General features: G+C 37.7%; 1 long non-coding RNA gene across 2 annotated transcripts in view, besides 1 other annotated feature; it reads right to left on the bottom strand.

Annotated features, from left to right (window-relative positions):
* Positions 1-19,469, bottom strand: part of LOC107985953 (uncharacterized) — a 139,261-nt gene that overhangs the window by 62,336 nt on the left and 57,456 nt on the right. For both annotated transcript variants that reach the window (XR_001739746.3, XR_001739747.3), the window contains one exon: positions 13,434-13,583. This is a non-coding gene — a long non-coding RNA (uncharacterized LOC107985953). The remainder of the gene's footprint in view (positions 1-13,433; positions 13,584-19,469) is intronic.
* Positions 1,849-2,349: an enhancer, noted in NCBI's record as "H3K4me1 hESC enhancer chr2:156456563-156457063 (GRCh37/hg19 assembly coordinates)". NCBI's record gives its function as "activates a minimal SCP1, AML or CMV promoter by ChIP-STARR-seq in primed H9 embryonic stem cells {active_cell/tissue: H9 hESC(primed)}" and the evidence as "EXISTENCE:reporter gene assay evidence [ECO:0000049][PMID:30033119]".

The following is a 19,469-nucleotide window of genomic DNA, read 5'->3' as shown; positions in this document are numbered from 1 at the left end:
ATGGGACTCACTTTTACTGATAGAGGAGGTGTGAAAATCACAGCATTCCAGTTCATTGTACATTATTTAAGAACCTTCTTTTAGTTTCAATAGTTCGTGTGCTCATTTTTTTTTCTTCTGTGAGAATAATATGTCCCAGATTGAGCTTTTCTCTCATAATAAAGAAGGCAGGTAGATGAGAGAAGCAGTAAGAGCATGCCCAAGCCAACCACCAATTCTTATAAAACGTAAGCCAGAAACATAACATTGCGATTGAAAGACATTGACATTTGGAAGATTTTTCCACAGCAACACTGGCTAATACAGTGATCATTTCAACCTGATTCCAGATTTTAAAGATAATTTCTCTAGTGATCTTCAAAGTGTGGTCCCAGACTACTCTGTAATTATATGTGACTAATAAACTTCTGGGATTTCGTAGTCCTTATCTGTCCAATGTCAGGTGTCAGATGTTCAGCTATCATGACCTTGAAGTAGAAATCCTTTTCTCACCAATGGGGTGAATAGACGCAATAAAAGAAACAAAGTATCTAGATCTTAAATTTGAGGTGCGACTGACTCCATTGTGCTTCCTCTGGTATGTGTGAAAATGTTAATAGAGATGAGGGCAAGCAGCGTAAAAATCAACATGACTATTATCTGAACACTTTTTAAGTAAAATTGTCATCTGGTAGAGAATTTTTATTCTCAAATATTGGTTCCAAAAGTGAGATATGTTAACACATCTTAAAAAGGAGCACACTTCACTGAAAAACAAAACTCTCATTTTGATGGCGTCAGCAGCCCATCTGGAGTGGCTGCTGTGAGGGTGCCAGGTACAGTGGGGAAGGCATCGCTGGGGCTGCCCTCCACAGAAACAGCAGGGGCCAGGAACAGGTGATCTCAGCGGGAACCCTGCACCCTATTGAATTGGCAGGGTGGGACCCCTGCCCTCCCAGGTGCAGCTGCAGCTGCCCAGCCACAGCTTCGGACCTGGGCATCCCTGTCCTCTCAGGGCCCCGGGAATCCTCATGTCCCCGCAGACTTGGAAGTGCCTGCTCCCACTTCCTAGCCTCTTCCTGTTCCCAGTACCAGCTTTGTGCAGAACAAAGATGTGGACATGTCTTGATAGCCAAGTCCAGGCACTGTTGTGACCTGACTGGGGGCGTGTATGCTCAGTGTGTGCACTCGGGGGACGTCCCAGCCCCCCTACTACCTCCCTTAGGCCCATCTGGAAACTGCTTCTGAGGCTGAAACTTTGGGCACTAATGAGCATGGGGAGGGGAGGCCTGGGGCTGATGGTGGCTTGGTGTAGGCTTGCGGGTGCCCCTTGGTACTGATAGCCTGGGCTCTGTGGAGGGCATGTTAATGGAGGAGGGAGACAGACAGGTTCCTGGTTGGGAAGGACTGGGTCCCTGGGGAAACCCACCTTCAAGGCAGGCATGGCTTTAAGTCTAAGGGTCAGGTTGCCAGTTCCTGGTGAAGTCCATGACCCTGAGTGAGAAAATTCCTTGATGCCATTCAACCAACCAAGTGGTGCTTTTTCCAGACCCACGCATGGACCAATCAACAATCACTTCCTTCTGTCCATGGACCAATCAGCATGTACTTCCTCCATTATGAGCCTATAAAAGCACCAGACAGCCAGACTCAGACACTGGTAAGGACGACCTGCCTGCAGAAAGGAGCTAACCACTTTAGGTCTCCCTTCTGCTGAGGGCTGCTCCAGTTCTCAATAAAGCTCCTCTCCACCTTGCTCACCCTCCAGTTATCAGCAAAACCTCATTCTTTTTGGATGGGGGACAAGAACTCAGGACCTGCCAAATGGCAGGAGCAAAAGGAGCTGTAACATTTCCCTGACCACGTCGCCGACTTGTGGGCAGGAGCTAAAGGGGCTGTAACACTATAGTCCTCCTGCCTTCTGCTGGTGCCCGGCAGCCACCCCATCCAACGGGAAGCGTCAGTGACGGGAAGCATCAGTGGGACCGGGCTGACCCAGGAGTCATGGGCCCAGCGCAAAGTGGTGGGACTGAAACAGCTATAACACAAATGTGCTGAAACATATCCCACTAAAACGTGCTTCCCTGTTCACCACACTGTGAATAATGAGGAGAGTAGAACTGCAGCCCTTCTGGCTGTATAGACCTCGGGGCTCCTTGAGCCAGGACTGCGACAGGCTGTAACACCCTCTTTGGGGCTCTGTGGCTCCAGGCATCTCTGAGTTTTCAGGCGCTACTGCGTTTTCCCTTATTCAGACACTGGTGCACACAGCAGAAGCCACTTTCCATATGTCTGGTCCAGCCTCAGCCTCACAAGGGGCCAGTGCCCATGCTGGTGCTTGGAGTTGCCTGCCCCACCCCACAGCAGCCAGTGTGCCTGGCTATGCGCAGTGGCCGGACCCCACACTTGCTTGTTTACACATCCCTCACCACTCAACACCTGGCTTGCCCTTGGCAGGCATGGGATCCAGGCTGGTAGCTCAAGCCAAGAGCAGCCTACTGGGCCAAATGAGTGGAATGGGCCTAGTGGGTGTGAGCAAAACTCAAGCAGAGACCCGCTGGCCACAGAGGTTTCCAGCTGGTTAAGCGACACCCAAAGGATCCTGTGACATTTTAGACCTTGCTGTTGCCTAGAGTTTATAAAGAATGTATTAGGAAAGTAGTATGTTGACTCCAATAATACGAAAAGAAACTAAACATTAAAATTTTGCATTGATTTATTCCAAGTGGAGGTAATTTGTACTAGGCACTGAAAGAAGAAAACAATATAGTTGAACTGTGTAATGTTATCAAATAAGTTTTCATTATTTAATATGAAGGAAGCCACAGATAGGAAACTCCCAAAAGTAAGTCCTAAAATTCTAGAGGTTACTCAGAAGTGCTCATTTTATAAAGTATTTATTGTCAGGGAGGTTGAACAATCCACAGCATCACGGTTTTCCATAATCTGATTTTAAACTTTCTAAAATTCCAAGTGTCACTCTGTGGCTCAAAGTCAGTATTTTAATACACAAAGGTAAAGAAAATGAATACACGTACATGGTAACTATAAAACAGAATAGAGAACTGGCCAAAACCAAATCAAAGTACATGTATTTTTTTCTATCAATTATCATAAATAGTACACAATTTATACCGAATTATATGGAAAGTGACAACAATTTTAACTCACATTAATGATAAGTAAACATCTGTGGAATTTAATTTATCTGGTCTACTATTTTTTTCTTATAATTAAGGTATAATGTACATACCACAAAATTCACCTTTTAAATTATATAATTGAGTGACTTTCAATATATTCTCAAATGTATAACCATTGCACTAATTCCAGAGCATTTCTATCAGCACAAAATAAACTTTATATCTATTAGCATGAAGGACCAAATCCTTTCTGCCTGCATCCCTTGTCAATTACCAATCTACTTTCTGTCTCTATAGATTTGTCTATTCTGGACATTTTAGAGCAGTGGAATCATACTATATGTGGCCTTTGTGACTGGATTCTTTAACTTTGCATGTCTGTTTATTATTATTATTATTATTTTTTGAGACAGAGCCTCGCTCTTGTTGCCCAGGCTGGAGTGCAATGGCACAATCTCAGCTCACCACATCCTCTGCCTCCCGGGTTCAAGTGATTCTCCTGCCTCACCCTCCCGAGTAGCTGGGATTACAGGCATGCACCACCATACCCAGCCAATTTTGTATTTTTAGTAGAGAACGGGTTTCTCCATGTCGGTCAGGCTGGTCTCGAACTCCCAACCTCAGGTGATCCACCCACCTTGGCCTCCCAAAGTGCTGGCATTACAGGCATGAGCCACTGCGCCTAGACTCACTTTGCATGTTTTAAGATTTATGTAAGTTGTAGCATGTTACAGTCATTCTTTTTACCCTGCATAATATTCTGTGGTATTAATAGACTATATTTTGTTATTCATTAATTAATGGATGAACATTTGGCATATTTGTACTTCTCAGCTATTATAAATCACACTGCTTTGAACATTCATGTACAAGGATTTGTGTGTATATATATTTTTAAATCCCTTGGGTATACACCTAGAAGTTGAATTACTGAGTCACATGGTAACTCTGCTTAATTTCTTAAGAAACTGCCAAAATGTTTTCTAAAGTGGCTACACCATCTTCCATTCCTAACAGTAATTTATAAGGGGTACAATTCCTCTGTATCATGGCTACACTTATTATTGTCCACATTTTTAAATTTAAGCTAGCATGGTGAGTGTGAAGTAAAATTTCACTGTGGTTTTAAATTTAATCTCCACAATAACTAGTAATGCTGAGCATCTTTTCATGTGCTATTGTTCATATGAATATCTTCCTTAGAGAAATGTCTATTCATACCGTTTGCCCATTTTTTATTTGGGTTATTTGTCCTTTTACCATTGAGTCATCAGAATTCTTTATATATTTTGAAGACAAATCCTGAATATATAATTTGTAAATATTTTTTCCTATTCTGTGGGCTACATTTTCATATTCCTGATGGTATCTTTTAATTCAGCAAAATTTTAAATTTGATAAGCTCCAATTTGTCTATTTTTGTTGTTGTGTTTTTAGAGTCATACCTAAGAAACCAGAGCCTAATTCAAAGTCACTAAGATTTATGCTTAATTTTTCTTCTAAGAACTTTATAGCTTTTACATTAGGTCTTTGATAAATTTTGAGTTAATTTATGTATATGATGTGAGATATTTTTCTAACTTCATTCATTCTTATGTGGGTATCAAGTTGACTCAGCATCATTGTGGAAAAAGATTATTTTTTCTCCATTAGATTGTCTTGTCATTTTTGTTGAAAATAAATTCATCAAAATAATGGGTTTCAATCTAGACTCAAATTCAGTTCCTTTGTTCTGTATGTTGATTCTTATGCTAGTACAACTCTGTTTTGATTCTTGCAGCTTTGTATTGAGTTTTAAAATTGAGAATTTTTAGTCTTCTTATTTTGTTCTTTTCAGAATTATTTTGGTTATTCTAGGTCATATACGTTTCCCTATTCATTTTAGGATCAACTCTGTTTCTGCATAAAAGTCAACTGGAGGCCAGGCAAAGTGGCTCACGCCTGTAATCCCAGCACTTTGGGAGGCCGAGGCGGGTGGATCACGAGGTCAGGAGACCGAGACCATCCTGGCTAACACAGTGAAACCCCATCTCTAGTAAAAAAATGCAAAAAAGTAGCCGGGCATGGTGGTGGGCACCTGTAGTCCCAGCTACTTGGGAGGCTGAGGCAGGAGAATGGTGTGAACCTGGGAGGCAGAGCTATCACTGAGCCAAGATCATGCCACTGCACTGCAGCCTGGGCGACAGAGCAAGACTCCATCTCAAAAAAAAAAAAAAAAGAAATCAACTGGAAATCTGATCAAGATTGTATTGAATTTTCAGATCAATGTGAAGGGATATTGCCATTTTAACAATACTACATTTCCAATCCATGAACACAGAATGTATTTTCATTTATTTAGCTCTTTTTAAATTTCCTTCAATAATGTTCTGCAGTTTTCAGTGCACAAGTCTTATGCTTCTTTAGTTACCTTTATTTTTAAGAGTTTTATTCCTCTTGATGCTATTGTACATGGAATTATTTTCATAATTTTATTTTCAAATTGTTCATTTGTGGTGACAAAATTGATTTTTGTATGTTAATCTTGTGTTCCTTATTTTTGCTGGAGTAACTCTAAAATGTGTGTGTGTGTATGTGTGTGTGTATTCCTTATGAATATCTACACATAAGACAATATCCTTTACTAATAGCTTTTACTTTTCAATGAGAATGTTTTTTATTTATTTTTCTTATTTAATTGCATTGTCTAGAAACTCCAGCACAATGTTCAATGGAAATAGCTAGCACATACTACCTTGTCTGTGTCCAAATTAGGGAAACAGCTTTCAATCTTTTGCCACTAAATGTGTTAGCTATAGATTTTTTATAGATATCTGTTATTATATTGAGGGACTTTACATCTATTGCTAGTTTGTTGAGTGTTTTTGCAGTGAAAGTACACTGAATTTTTTCAGATGTGTTTTCTGCAGCTATTGAGAGATCGTGTATTTTTTCCGTTCTGTTAATATGATAAATTACATTTATTGATTTTTGTATGTTGAACCACCCTTGCATTTTTAAGATAAATCCCACTTGATCATGGTAATTATTCATTTTATTATTCTGGATGCAGTTTGCTGGTATTTTGTGAAGAAATCTATAATCATAAGGGCCAGCTATTAGACTTAAATGATTTTTATGTAATGTATTTGTCTGGCTTCAGTATCATGGTAATATTGGCCTCAAAAATGAGAAAGTGTTTCTTCTATTTTGGAGAGAGTTTCAAAAGAATTTTTGTTAGTTATTATTTAAATGTTTGTTAGAATTTACCAGTGAAACAACTGAGTCCTAGGCTTTTATTTGTGGAAAAATTTTGATGATCAGTTCCATATCTTTGTTATGTTATAGATTTATTCAGATTTTCTACTCCTTCAGTGAGGCAGTTTTTAATCTTTCAAAAAAATTTCCATTCCATTTACATTATTTAACTTTTTCTTATATATTTTTATAGCTTTTTCATCTTTTTCATGTCTCTAATCTTTTTAATGATCTTCAAGTTTTCATTCCTGGTTTTGGAAAAGAGTAATTTTTTTTTGGTTGGTCCAGGTAAACTACTTGTTTTCTACATTTTATTTATTTCTCTCCTGATCTGTATAATTCTCATCATTTTTCTTGTTTCACATTAATATACACATTTTCTAATGCCTTAAGGTGGAAAGTTAGGTTAATGATTTAAGTTCTTGTTTAGTAAGTGTTTGCACCTATAAATTTCTTTCTAAGTAATGCTGTTACGGCATCTCCTAAGTTTGGGTATGTTATATATTCTTTAATTTATATCAACATATTTCTTAATTTTCATTTGTGGTTTCCTTTTCTGCCCATTTGTTGTTTGTGTGTGTGTTGTTTAATTTCCACACATTTATGAATTTCTGTAATTTCCTTTTGTTATTTATTTCTAATTTCATTTTATTATGATCAGAAAATCATACTTTTGTGTGATTTTGGCCCTCTTAAATTTATTTAACTTGTTTTATGGCATTTTCAGTATGGTCTATCCTGCAAAATATTTTATGTGTAATTGAGAAGAAACATATGTATCCTGTTATTCTTGAGTATGGTGTTCTATAGATGTCCATTGGCTATACTTAGATTACTTTATAATTCAAGCCTTGTATTCCCTGTTATCCTTCCTAGTTGTTCTATCTACTATTGAAAATGAAGTATTAAAGACTTCAACTCTTAATGAGATATATATTTTTTTCTTTAATTCTGTTTATGTTTCATAAATTTGGGGGCTCTGTTATACCCAGAAATATGTTTATAATTGTTATATCTTCTTGATGGGTTGATATTTTATCCTTATAAAATGTCTTCATTTGTCTCTAGTAAAAATTTTTTTTTACAAAGTCTATTTTGTCTGATATTAGCATTACCACTCCTGCTATCTTTTGGCAACTAATTGTATGGTATTCTTTTCCAATCTTCTAGGTTCAAAGTATTTCTTTGAATCTAATGTGTATCCCTTTGTAGACAGCATGTAGTTGGGTAAAAATTTTTTAAACCCATCTTGCCAATCTCTGCCTTTTGATTGAAGGTGTAATTTATTTACAGGTTTATTTAATGTAATTAATGATAAGGTAAAATTTATATCTTATATTTTTCTATTATATGTCTTATGTCTTCTTAATTTCTTTATTCCAACATCATTTCCTTCTTTTGTACTAATTAGATATTTTCTAAGATACCACTGTAATTCTCTTGTAACATTTTTACCATATTATTTTGGAGTTATATTCTCAGTGTCTTTTCTGGGGTTGCAATTGACATCTTAATTTATTACAGGCTATTTCATGTCAATACTAACTTTATTTAAATTGTATATGAAATATTTGCTTCTATATAGTTCTCCCCCAAACTTGTGATTTTATTGACATACAAGTTATGCGTTTATACATTTTTATTATTGAATTTTTATAAGTACAAGTTTATAATTATTACTTTATGGAGTATTAAAAATATACTTATAATGATATTTAATATTTATCTATGTAGTTACTATTATTGGTAGTTTTTATTTCTTTATCTTGATTCAAGTTACGTCTAGTATCCTTTCATTACATCCTGAAAGACTACCTTTATTATTTCTTATCAGGCAGATCTGCTTGAGGTGAATACTCTCAGGTTTTGTTTATCTAAAAATATCTCTATTTATCCTTAACTTTTGAAGAATAGTATTCTTGTTTGATAGACTTTTCTTTCAGTACTTTAAATTTGCATACCATTGTCTTCACAGCTTCATTATTTCTACTGAGAAATCAACAGTTATTCTTATTATAGCTACCTTGCAGTCGATGAATTGCTTCTCTCTTGCTACTTCTGAGATTCCCTCTTTATCTTAGTCTTTCAACAGTTTGAGTATAGTGTGTCTAGGTGTAAACATCTTTGAATTTTCCTTCTTGATGTTTGTTGAGACTATTATATGTTTAATTTATTAGCGTTACCATTCCTGCTATCTTTTGGCAACGAATTGTGTGGTATTCTTTTCCAATCTTCTAGTTTTAAACTATTTATTTGAATCTAATGTGTATCCCTTTGTACACAGCATGTAGTGTAGCAATGGGCATAAGCCAGTCAAAATAATTTAATATTTTTCTCCAGATCTGGAAATTTTTCACTTATTTTTTCAAATGTCATTTCTGTGTTTCTGTCCCTATTCTTCTATAATTCTCATTATTTATATAACAAGCTTGATGGTATCCCACAGGTGTCTGAAGCCTAATTTATTTTTCTGTATTTATTTATTTATTATAATTACAATTATTTGCTTTCTTTTTCTCGCACTGGGTCATTTTAATTGACCTGTCTTTAAATTTGCTTTTTCTTACTTCTGCCTGATCAAATCTGCTGAAGCCTCCTCTAGTGAATTTTTCACTTTAGTTATTGTAGTATACAACATTAGAAATTTTGTATAGTTTTTTTAAAAAAACAATTGCTAGCACTATTTGTATTCTCTGTTTTGTGGGACATCATTCTCACATTTTTCTTTAAATCTTTAGATGTGGCTTTCTTTAGTTCTTTCACCTTATTAAAACAGCTAATTTTAAAAGTCTTTGTCTAGTAAATCCAACATGTGGGCTTTCTTAGTGGTATTTTCAAGTGACTACTTTTTATTTCTGGGTAAGAACACTTCTGGTGAAAACTACACATTTCCAGAGTTCTGGAAATCATATAATCTCTACTCCTCAGGTTTTGTTATTATGACTGTTGGATGAGTTACTTTCTCTGAGCTAATTCTCTAATGTCTTTATTCTTTATCATGTGTGGACGTGGGAGTCTTTACTTAGCTTACTGGTCAGCTAATAGTTAAACAGAGATTTTCTTTAATGCTTGGAACAAATACTTTTTCCAGTCTTTCCTAAGGGGCTGTGTCTGCATTTTGGATCATCTCTTTAAAACTCACGAACACAGTTGACAATTCTTACTTAGCCTTCTTTTTCTGCTTAGGCTGAATTTCAAGGTCAGTGAGAAATGGAAGCACAGATCACGTGCAAGGGCCTGAATACATGCATAACCCTACCAATATAAGTGGCCTTCTATACCCCAGAAATGTGTCAAAACTTTTGAAATATAGACCACTTGCTTAACACATTTCTGAGATTATTTTGTTTGCCTATTGTTTGCCCTAACTGTTACTCACTGCTGGCTCAGTCACGATAGTAAACAATTGCTACTGTTTGTTGTTTTCTCTAGAGAAAAGGCTATTCTCTCAAGCTCTGAGTCAGGTAAAATAAAAAACCTTCTGTATAGGATCTTCTGGAAAATTACCAAACATATCAAGGAAGGACAATTGTCTGGGTATGGGGTTTCAAGGAGATTCAATCCACTTCTGCCCCCTCCAGTGGCTGCCAGGCTTTTGGTTTTCACTGTGACTGCAGGCTGTTGGTTTTCAAAGCTACTGTAAAGATGGTGCAGCAATGGGCATAAGCCAGTCAAATGGCAAAGCTCACTGTTCTTACTGTGATTCTGCCATTTTTCTTGAATGATGCACCCTGGATTGCTGCAAGCCTTTGGTTAATTTCCAGAGTTCTGTAAAAGCTGATTTTAGCCAGTTTTCTCATTGCTTTTATGGAAAAGAGGATTTTTCAGAAGTCCTCATCCTGGCACTCCTTCTGATGCTTGAGGACTACGTTTCTAACACTGAAATTTAATATGTGTTTATAGAGATGAATTACTGAATTCATGAAGAATGGGGAACTAGAGGCAGAGAAATAAAATGAAAATTGCAGACAGAGTGGAGAAGTAGCAAAGCATAATGTGTGAAAGAATGAGCTTTTTGAGGGCACTAGTTATAGAGGAGTTGGGTAAGGTTAGAGTTTAATCAGTTTTGTAGTACTGTGTTACATAAATGCAGTTAACGATTACTTGTTCCTTTTTCTAGTGCAATATATCACATAGCAATAGCTTTAGAGTTATACTTTGTACTATGATATGTAGGATGCTGTGTTCTCCTTTCTATTAAAGAAGTGGTAGGAAAGGTTAAAAGTAATTGGAAGCTAAGTTGTATGCCTTTGTAATCTATGTAGAAAACTGAGATATGGATGACCACATATGGGTAAACTTTAAAGAAAAGTTACCTGTTTAATCATGCCTAGAAAAAATTTTGATACGAATATGTAAGTTTATGCTAAAAATATTTACATCATTGAATATTTCTGAGTAAAGTGATTGTCAGCGTATAATACCAATAAAAATACTGAGAGTTTTAATTCATTATGGCAAAGAAGATATATATCCATAGTAATATAATTCATTAAAGCACAAAATCTATGAAATAAAATAAGTTTTTAATTTTCAAAGTTGTATACAAATTAAACATTTAATGTAATGAAACTTAATAATATATTTTAAAATTATTTTGGAGGAATTATTTGAATTCCTTGAAAGAATTTTGAGTGTATATATTCTTTTTCTCTCAAAAGCATTACATTTAATGTACATTTGAAATAAAATTATATTAAATTTAGTAATTATATAAGGGCTGTGTACTTGAGAAAATATATCCTGCTGACTTCTGATATTACAGTACTCAGTATTTGCTTCCCAAGTAAACTTTTTGTGGAGACAATGTAAGAAAGTGTCTCTCATAGAGCCTGCTGGCTCTTCTAAGATTTTAGGGAGCAAATAATCCCACAAATATCCCTTCATAGGAGATATGTGACACAAACTTACTGCCTAATACAGAGGTAGCTCACCAGCATGTTTTTAGTGCCTACTACATGAGAGCACTGCACCTTTTCTATTTTCCAATATTAAAGTCATCAAGGATCTACATCATGTACTCATCTATGTATTTTCAGATCCGAACTCTCCTCTCTTCACTCATGTCCCTTCATCTCTGTCAACATTATTCAAAGATATATGCCTTTTTAGCTTCTTTATCCAGTACTATCAGTCTGGTATATCGCTTCAGCTAATAAATACAGGCTGTGGAGAACATACTCATTTGAGACAAGCGTGAAACCTACCTTTGTTGATTTTATTTTCTCCTCCTTTCCTACTCTTCCTTTGTGAGACTCTTCTCTCTCTTTCTCTTTGTCTCTCTCTCCCTCTCCTTTTCCTTTGTCCTGTCCAACACCCACCTTTCTTCTTTCCATGCTCAGTTTGTGTGTACGTTTATGTATGTGTGTGTGTGTGTGTGTGTGTATTAACACATGTGTGCATGCCTACTAATATTCTCTCCCATTTTCACCTTCTTGTTTTTTTAGGGAATCCAGCAAGCTATCTGAGACATATTTTCATCCCCTAAATTATTATAAAGTGTTACAGGAGGGAGTAAGTCAAGAATGCCTCTAAAACGTCTTAAGATGCTCTATAGAGAATTTCTCTCTTGGAGCTCACATTAGAAATGAGAGCATGAGAGCAGATAACTTTCTCTTCTCTTTTCACTTTATATCTTGTTCAACCTTAAATACACATAGAGCTTAAGTGTAAAAGCCCAGCACCTCCTTCCAATTAGCATCTCTGTGAGAGAGCTTTACCAGATGCCTCAAAGACCCTTTATGATGATTTTAGGGTTATCTACAAATCCAAAAGATACTGATGTTGTGGTTTTTAGGAGGTAATGAAAAGTGTCTTTGTGCTGACTGGAATGTGTGCACAGAAAGGAGAGAGGGTTAACCACTTTGAGGTAGAGCAAAGGATGAGATTACCTGAACTCTGCTTCTCTTGAATGGCTACAAGGACAGTTGTTCTCAACAGAGCCCACAAAATAGATTACATAATAAGAACACAGCTTTAAAACTTATTGCAAAGGTCCATCTAAATATCACAGTGCACTGTGTGTCTCAGCCACTTTCACTTCATTCTTTAGAACAGAAGATGCTGTTAATCTTTCAGTGAGAAATAAAAAATATTGTAATTCTATTTAGATAACATGAGTGTTCAAATGCATCATGAGTTAGGATCAACATTCACAACTGCCTTATTTGGTATACTATTTTGTATTTTAAAATTATAGAAATCATTTAATTTTAAACAGCATTCAAATTTTGAAGAAGACAACCTGAAACATTTACTCAGCCTAAGAAAATCAATCTAGACATTTTGTTATATGTTTTTCCAAACTTATATGTATTTATATTTTACTTTTTAAATTGAATTATTGGTAACACAGAATAATACCTTCTTACGGTATAAAAAATGAAAGAAGAGAGGGAAAAGGATATAAAGATGGAGCTAAACATGATGTCTTCTTTACCTCCCCTGTACTTATCTTGTTCTCCCACTATGTTAATCAATATAAAATGATTTTTGTATATTAAAAAACTCCTCTTTATACAAATATATATTGCATTTATTTTTACAGATGCAGAATCATACCGTACACACCACTTTGCAACCTTCTATTTTCACTTAGTGTAACACATGCAGTTCTACAAGTCAGGACACACAATTCTAACTCAATTTCATTATAACTGCTTTGCATTATGGCATATAAATAAGTACATATCTATGCATGGGAGCACACATAGATGTATATTTAAATGAACATGAAAGGTATATATCATACCTCATTATCTTTGAAGTACATATTTTTCTTTTTCTTTCACTTCTCACTTTCCTCTTATTTATTCTGCATTTCTACCCTGACTGCCTATCCCCCAGATATATAGAAGTGAATTGCTAATAACCTTGCATTTGGTGGTAATACAATAACCCATTGTTGGTTGAAATGTACAGTGAGTGTGAGTATAGGTGTTCAGTGAGGCATTCAGGAATGTGGTGGCTGAGACACTTATAGTCATAAGTATAAAGTGGCTTTGGTGGCAAAGACAGAGACTATGTATGGGCCCAATAGCACAGGCTTTATCTCAATAAGAGTTAGCTACTTACCGTCACTGCTGATAGCAGAAAGTAATGCTGAGCTCTCAATATGTCAACATTCCTCAATTAAACTATCAAGCTACTGTGTGGCACACACAGATTAATTATATTTGATCCCTTTCCACCTGGAGGAGGCAGCAATTTGTTCTTACAGGATACCTGCAAAAAAAAAAAAACTTATAAAGTTCTTCCTCTCTTATCACAGTGCTCTGACAGAACCATTATCTAAGGACTTCTATATATCCTACCTCATTATCCAGAAACAGCAAACCTAATACAACAGTAACATTATGTGTTAACAGTTCAGCAAAAGGGTCAGCTTGGTGACAGTGCTGTGTGAGATTGGGGAGCTTTGTTCCAGGATGTAGTATACACATTCCAATCACTTGCATATTTTTCTGTATCCATAATATCTACAATAGGGAAGCCAAGGATATGAAGTACAGGAGTAAAGTTTGTCTCTCTCCCCATCACTCCCAGCGATACAATTAAAGAAGTTGTGTTTTTCACCAGTGAAATCTTAGGCTCTGCTGGATTAGGGATTCTGGGTCCTAGTTGAGGAAGACTTCCACCAAGAAGTAACTATACCAGTTGGTCACTTCAAACTCCTTATGCCACTGTTCCAGGAGACAAATCAATAAATTACCAAACTCATGGGGATGTTTGACCCTGAACACCATAAAAATCTAGTGTTACTTCTAAAAAATTGGACTGGAGATGTGTGTCTAGAACTTGTGGAGAGACAGGGCCATCACTTGGTTATTTTGTTCCCAGTGATTATAGTGAATGGACAATGCAGGCAATCTTGTCCTGAGAAAGGCAAGAACACTCTGAGATTGAAATCTTGGTGGATAAAATCTAAATAATCAAACCAGGCAATAAAGCTCCCAAAAGGCTTGCCAAAGGTGAGAAAAATCTTAAAGATCCTAAATGTGAATGATAACCTTACCACAAGCTTTTGTATGTGTTTTCTCCTTTCCATTTCATTTAGTTCAGTTCTGATTTTGGTTAGTTTTTTCTTCTGCTAGCCTTGGGGTTGGTTTGTTTTTGTCTTTCTAGTTCCTTTAGGTGAAATGTAATTTTATTCCTTTTGTGGCTATTGTGAATGGGATTGTGTTCTTGATTTAGCTCAGTTTGAACATCATTTGTGTGTAGAAATGCTACTGATTTTTGTATGTTAACTTTGAGTCCTGAAACTTTGGTGACTTTAATTTGAGACCTTTCTAACTTTTTGATGTGGGTGTTAAGCACTATAAACTTTCCTCTTAATACTGCTTTAGCTGGATCCCAGAGATTCTAGTATGTTTCATCTTTGTTTTCATTATTTTCAAATAATTTCTTGATTTCTGCCTTAATTTCATTCTTTAGCCAAAAGTCATTCAGGAGCAAGTTGTTTAATTACCATGTAATTTAGTTGCTTTGAGAGATCTTCTTGGTATTGATGTAATTTTTTATTGCACTATGGCCCAAGATTGTGGTTTGTGTGATTTTGTGTTTTGGGATTTATTTTTTAATCTGTTGAGAATTGCTTTTTGGCCAAGTATGTCGTCAATTTTAGAGTATGTGCTATGTGCAGATGAAAAAAATGTGTATTGTGTTGTTGCTGTCTGGAGTGTTCTGTAGATGTCTCTTAGGTCCATTTGACCAACTGTTGAGTTTAGATCCTGAATATCTTTGTTAGTACTGTACCTTGATGATCTGTCTAATATTGTCAGTGTGGTGTTGAAGTCTCTGACTACTATTGTGTGGTTATAAGTCTGTTCATAAATCTCTAACAACTTCTTTTATTAATCTGGGTGCCACAGTGTTGTGTGCATATATATTTAGGATAGATAAGTTTTATTGTACTGAACCCTTTATAATTACGTAGTGCCCTTCTTTGTCCTTTTTGATTATTGTTAGTTTAATGTATGTTTTGTCTGAAATAAGCATAGCAACCCCTGATTCTTTTTTCCTGTTTGCCTGATATATCTTTCTCTATCCCTTTACTTTGAGCCTATGGGTATCCTTGCATGTGAGACAGGTCTCCTGAAGGCAGCATACAGTTGGGTCTTGCTTCTTTATCCAACTTGCCACCCTGTGCCTTTTAAGTGGGGCATTTAGCACAGTTACATTCAAACTCAATATTAATATTTGAGGATTTGATTTTGTCATATGTTGTTAGCTGGTTTTTATGTAGACTTAATTGTGCTTTAAGAGTCAATGATTTTCATACTTAAGTGTGTTTTTGTGGTGGCCAGTAACTGTCTTTTGTTTTCGTGTTTAGCACTCCCTTAGTAAAAACCATATGCAAGGCAGGTCTGGTAGTAATAAATTCTCTTAGGATTTACTTGTCTAAAAAGGATTGTATTTCTTCTTTGCTTATGAAGCTTAGTTTAGTGGGATATGAAATTGTTGACTGGAATTTCTTTTCTTTATTTTTAAGATGGAGCCACATTCTGTCACCTAGACATACCACCACGCCTAGCTATTTTTTTTTTTTTTTTAATTTTTGGTAGAGGCGAGATTTCACCATGTTGCCCAGGCTGGTCTTGAATTCCTGAGCTCAAGTGATCCACCCACCTTGGCCTCCAAAATGGTAATTTCTTTTATTTATGGATGCTGAATATGAGCCCTCAATTTCTTCTGGCTTTTAGGGTTTCTGCTGAAAGATCCACTGTCAGGCAGACAGGGTTCCCTATATAGGTGCCTTTTCTCTCTACCTGACTTTAGTATTTTTTATTTCACAGTGACTATGGCGAATCTGATGTCTTTTTGTCTTGGAGATGGTCATCATGTATTGTATCTTGCAAAGATCTCTGAATTTCCCAGGTTTCTGTGTCAACCTCTCTGGTGAGTTTGGGGAGATTTTCATGAACAAGACCATCAAATATGTTTTCTAAGTTGCTTACTCTCCTTCCTTTTCTTTCAGTGATGCCACTGAGTCACAAATTTGGTCTCTTTACATAGTCCTATATTTCTTCCGAGATATTTTGTTTATTTTTTCAAATACATTTTTACTTTACTTTTGTCTGACTGAGTTAATTCAAAGAACCAGTCTTCAAGCTCAGAGATTCTTTCCTCAGCTTGGTTTATTTTGCTGCTAATAATTCTGATTGTTTTATGAAGTTCTTATAGTTAGTTTTTCATCTCTGTCAGGTCACTTTTGTTCTTTCTTAAAACAGATACTTTATCTTTCAGCTTGTGTATTGTTTTACTGGATTCCTTAGATTCCTTGGATTAGATTTCAGCTTTCTTCTGAATCTTGATTTTTGTTGCCATCTAAATTCTGTATTTTACATCTGTCATTTCAGCCATTTTATTCTGGTTAAGAACCATATCTGGGGAGCTAGTACAGTCATTTATATGTAAGAGGACATTTTGGCTTTTAGAGTTGCCAGAGTTTTAGCACTGGTTCTTTCTCATCTGTGTGGACTGATGTTCTTTAACTGTGGTGACATTTGAGTACCATCAGTTGGCTTCATTTCTAGATGTTTGCGGAAGGCTGAAGCTTTGCGTAGGGTCTTTATTTGTGGCTGAATTATTGTCATTGGTTTCACAAGGAGGAATATTAGCCAAGTTTTTTTCCCGTTGAAGTTTGTGCTGTGATCCAGTAGATGGAACTTACATGTAGTGTCCATAAATAGGCTCTTACTGATCAGTGCTCCTCCTCAATATTTCCTCACATTTGCAGCTGTGCTACCTCTCAGAGTTCTGAGAGTGGAGGCTTCTGTCACACTCAAGTGCTGGCCACAAATATTGGCTTGGCACTCCCAGGCTGTGCATGGCAAACCCAGGGTGAGCTCAGGCTTTCGGTTCCCTCCCCAGCTTGGGGGCAGCAGGAGTGGCGACCTTGGCAGTGGCAGCAGCAAGGGTCTTAAACTTGTCTCTGGGGGTTCTGCCACAGGAAAACACAGAACTGCTGCTAATCTAATCTGGGTAGGGTAGCTGCATTGCAGGCCCAAGCCAGGGAGCAGATGGGAGGGCTCATGGTGAAGACAGTCTGGCCTCTTCTGTGTAGGGTGGTCACAGTGTGCTAGAGTTGCAAGTAAAGCACTCTGGTTCTTTGCTCACTCCCAGCCCAGTGGCAGAAAAGGAGGTACCACTATGGTGACAATGGCAGAGGGGCTGTAAGTTGCCTCTGGGAACTCCACCCCAGAGAGATACAGAGCTGCTGCCAATGGAATGTTCAGCTCAGGATGGGGCTGTTGCACTGTGGGCCCAAGCTGGGGGCCTAGCTTGGTGAAAAGCAAGGGGTTAGGAGCTGAAAGGGAAGAGACACTGGGCTGCTCTCCACAGAGCAGCTGGGATGTGCTGGGGGTGTGAGCAAAGTGATCAGGGTCTTTGTTCCCTTTCCAGCCCAAGGGCAACAAGGGTGACACCATTGCAGTGGCAGAGGCCGAGGGGTTATGGGTTGTCTCTAGGAATTCTACCCCAGAGATATGCAGGTCCTCCACTGACTGAAGTGATCAGGCATGGGTAGGGTGGCTGTTCTGCGGGCCAAGGTTGGGAGGACCTCCCCAGTGAGGAGTAGCAGGGGCAGGGAACCATGAGGAAAACAGTCTGGCCACTTTTCTGTACAGCAACCGAGGTGATAGCTCTTGTGCTCTTTGCTCCCTTCCCAGCCTGAAGGCAGTATGGGCAGGGACTGTGGCAGTGGCAAAAGCTGTAGACCTCCTAGTTACCCCTAGGAGCTCCACCTTAGAGGAATGCAGAACTGCTATAGTCAAGTGCTGAGGTTGGGGTAGGGTAGTTGTCCTGGGGTCCCAGGTCACAGAGCTTTGCCTGGAGTGGTGCAACAGAGGCGAGGTCTGCAGTCTGTCTGCTCCTCAGCACTGTGGATGCAGCCCCTTTCCTGGGGGCATGTGAGAAAGCCTGACCTCCCTTGTTGGTGGAACTACAGCTGCTGGAGTCAGGGCACTCAGGGACCCAAGATCCCTGGGTTTCCACATGAGTCTGAGCAGCAGCTCTGTCCGGACTTTGCACAACTCTCCATGTCAGTCTGGAGGCCCTGTGGGGAGGGGAGGGAGGGACTCTCCTGTGTTCAGTACTGATAAGGTCCATGGCAGAAGTGTGGGTCCCTGGGGGCTCTCATTCACTCACCCTTTCCCCAGAGTGGGGAGCCCCCCTTGGCTTTGTGCCAATCCTGCTGGGAATCTGCCCTGACTCACTCATCTCTGCTCTCTGTGGATCACACTGCTTCTCTGATGAATCCCCTAGGCAATCCAGTTGAAGAGCTTATATTTACTGACCACTGTATCTCCTCTCTGTGATAGTGGCACACACCATGCATTACATGCACAAACACACACACACACACACACACACACACACCATGGAATACTACCCAGTCTTAAAAGGGAATGAAATAATGGTATTAGCAGCAACCTGGATGGAGTTGAAGACCATTATTCTAAGTGAAGTAATTCAGGAATGAAAAATTAAATATTGAAGGTTCTCACTTATAAATGGGAGCTAAAGTATGAGGACACAAGGGCATCAGAATGATATAATGGATGTTGGGGAATCAGAGGGAAGGGTGGGAGGCTAGTGAGGGATAAAAGGCTACACATTGTAGACAGTGTACACTGCTCAGGTAATGGGTGCACCAAGATCTCAGAAATCACCACTAAAGAACTTATCCATGTAACCAAAAACCACCTGTTTCCCAAAAACTATTGAAACAAAATAAAGAAAAAAATAGCTGGAATAAATGTATCTACTGTAAAAACCTATATGATCATTTCAGTTGATGCTGAAAAAATATTTGATAAATTTAACATCCTTTTATAATAAAAGCTCTCAAAAAACTGGGTATAGAAGGAACATACCTCAATACAATAAAAGCCATATACAACAGACCCGCAGCTAGAATCACACTAAATGGGGAAAAACTGAAAGCATTTTCTCTAAAATCTGGAACCAAATAAAGATGCCCGCTTTCACCACTGTTCTTCAACATAAAACTGGAAGTCCTAGCTAGAGCAGTCAGACATGAGAAAGAAATAAAGTGCATCCGAATTGGAAAAGAAGAAGTTAAATTATCCTTCTTTGCAGATGTTATGA

The sequence above is a fragment of the Homo sapiens genome, chromosome 2 (genome assembly GCF_000001405.40).
Source record: "Homo sapiens chromosome 2, GRCh38.p14 Primary Assembly".
NCBI lineage: Eukaryota > Metazoa > Chordata > Mammalia > Primates > Hominidae > Homo > Homo sapiens.
Note: the sequence above shows the minus strand (reverse complement) of the source record. Positions and strands in the feature narration are given on the sequence as shown.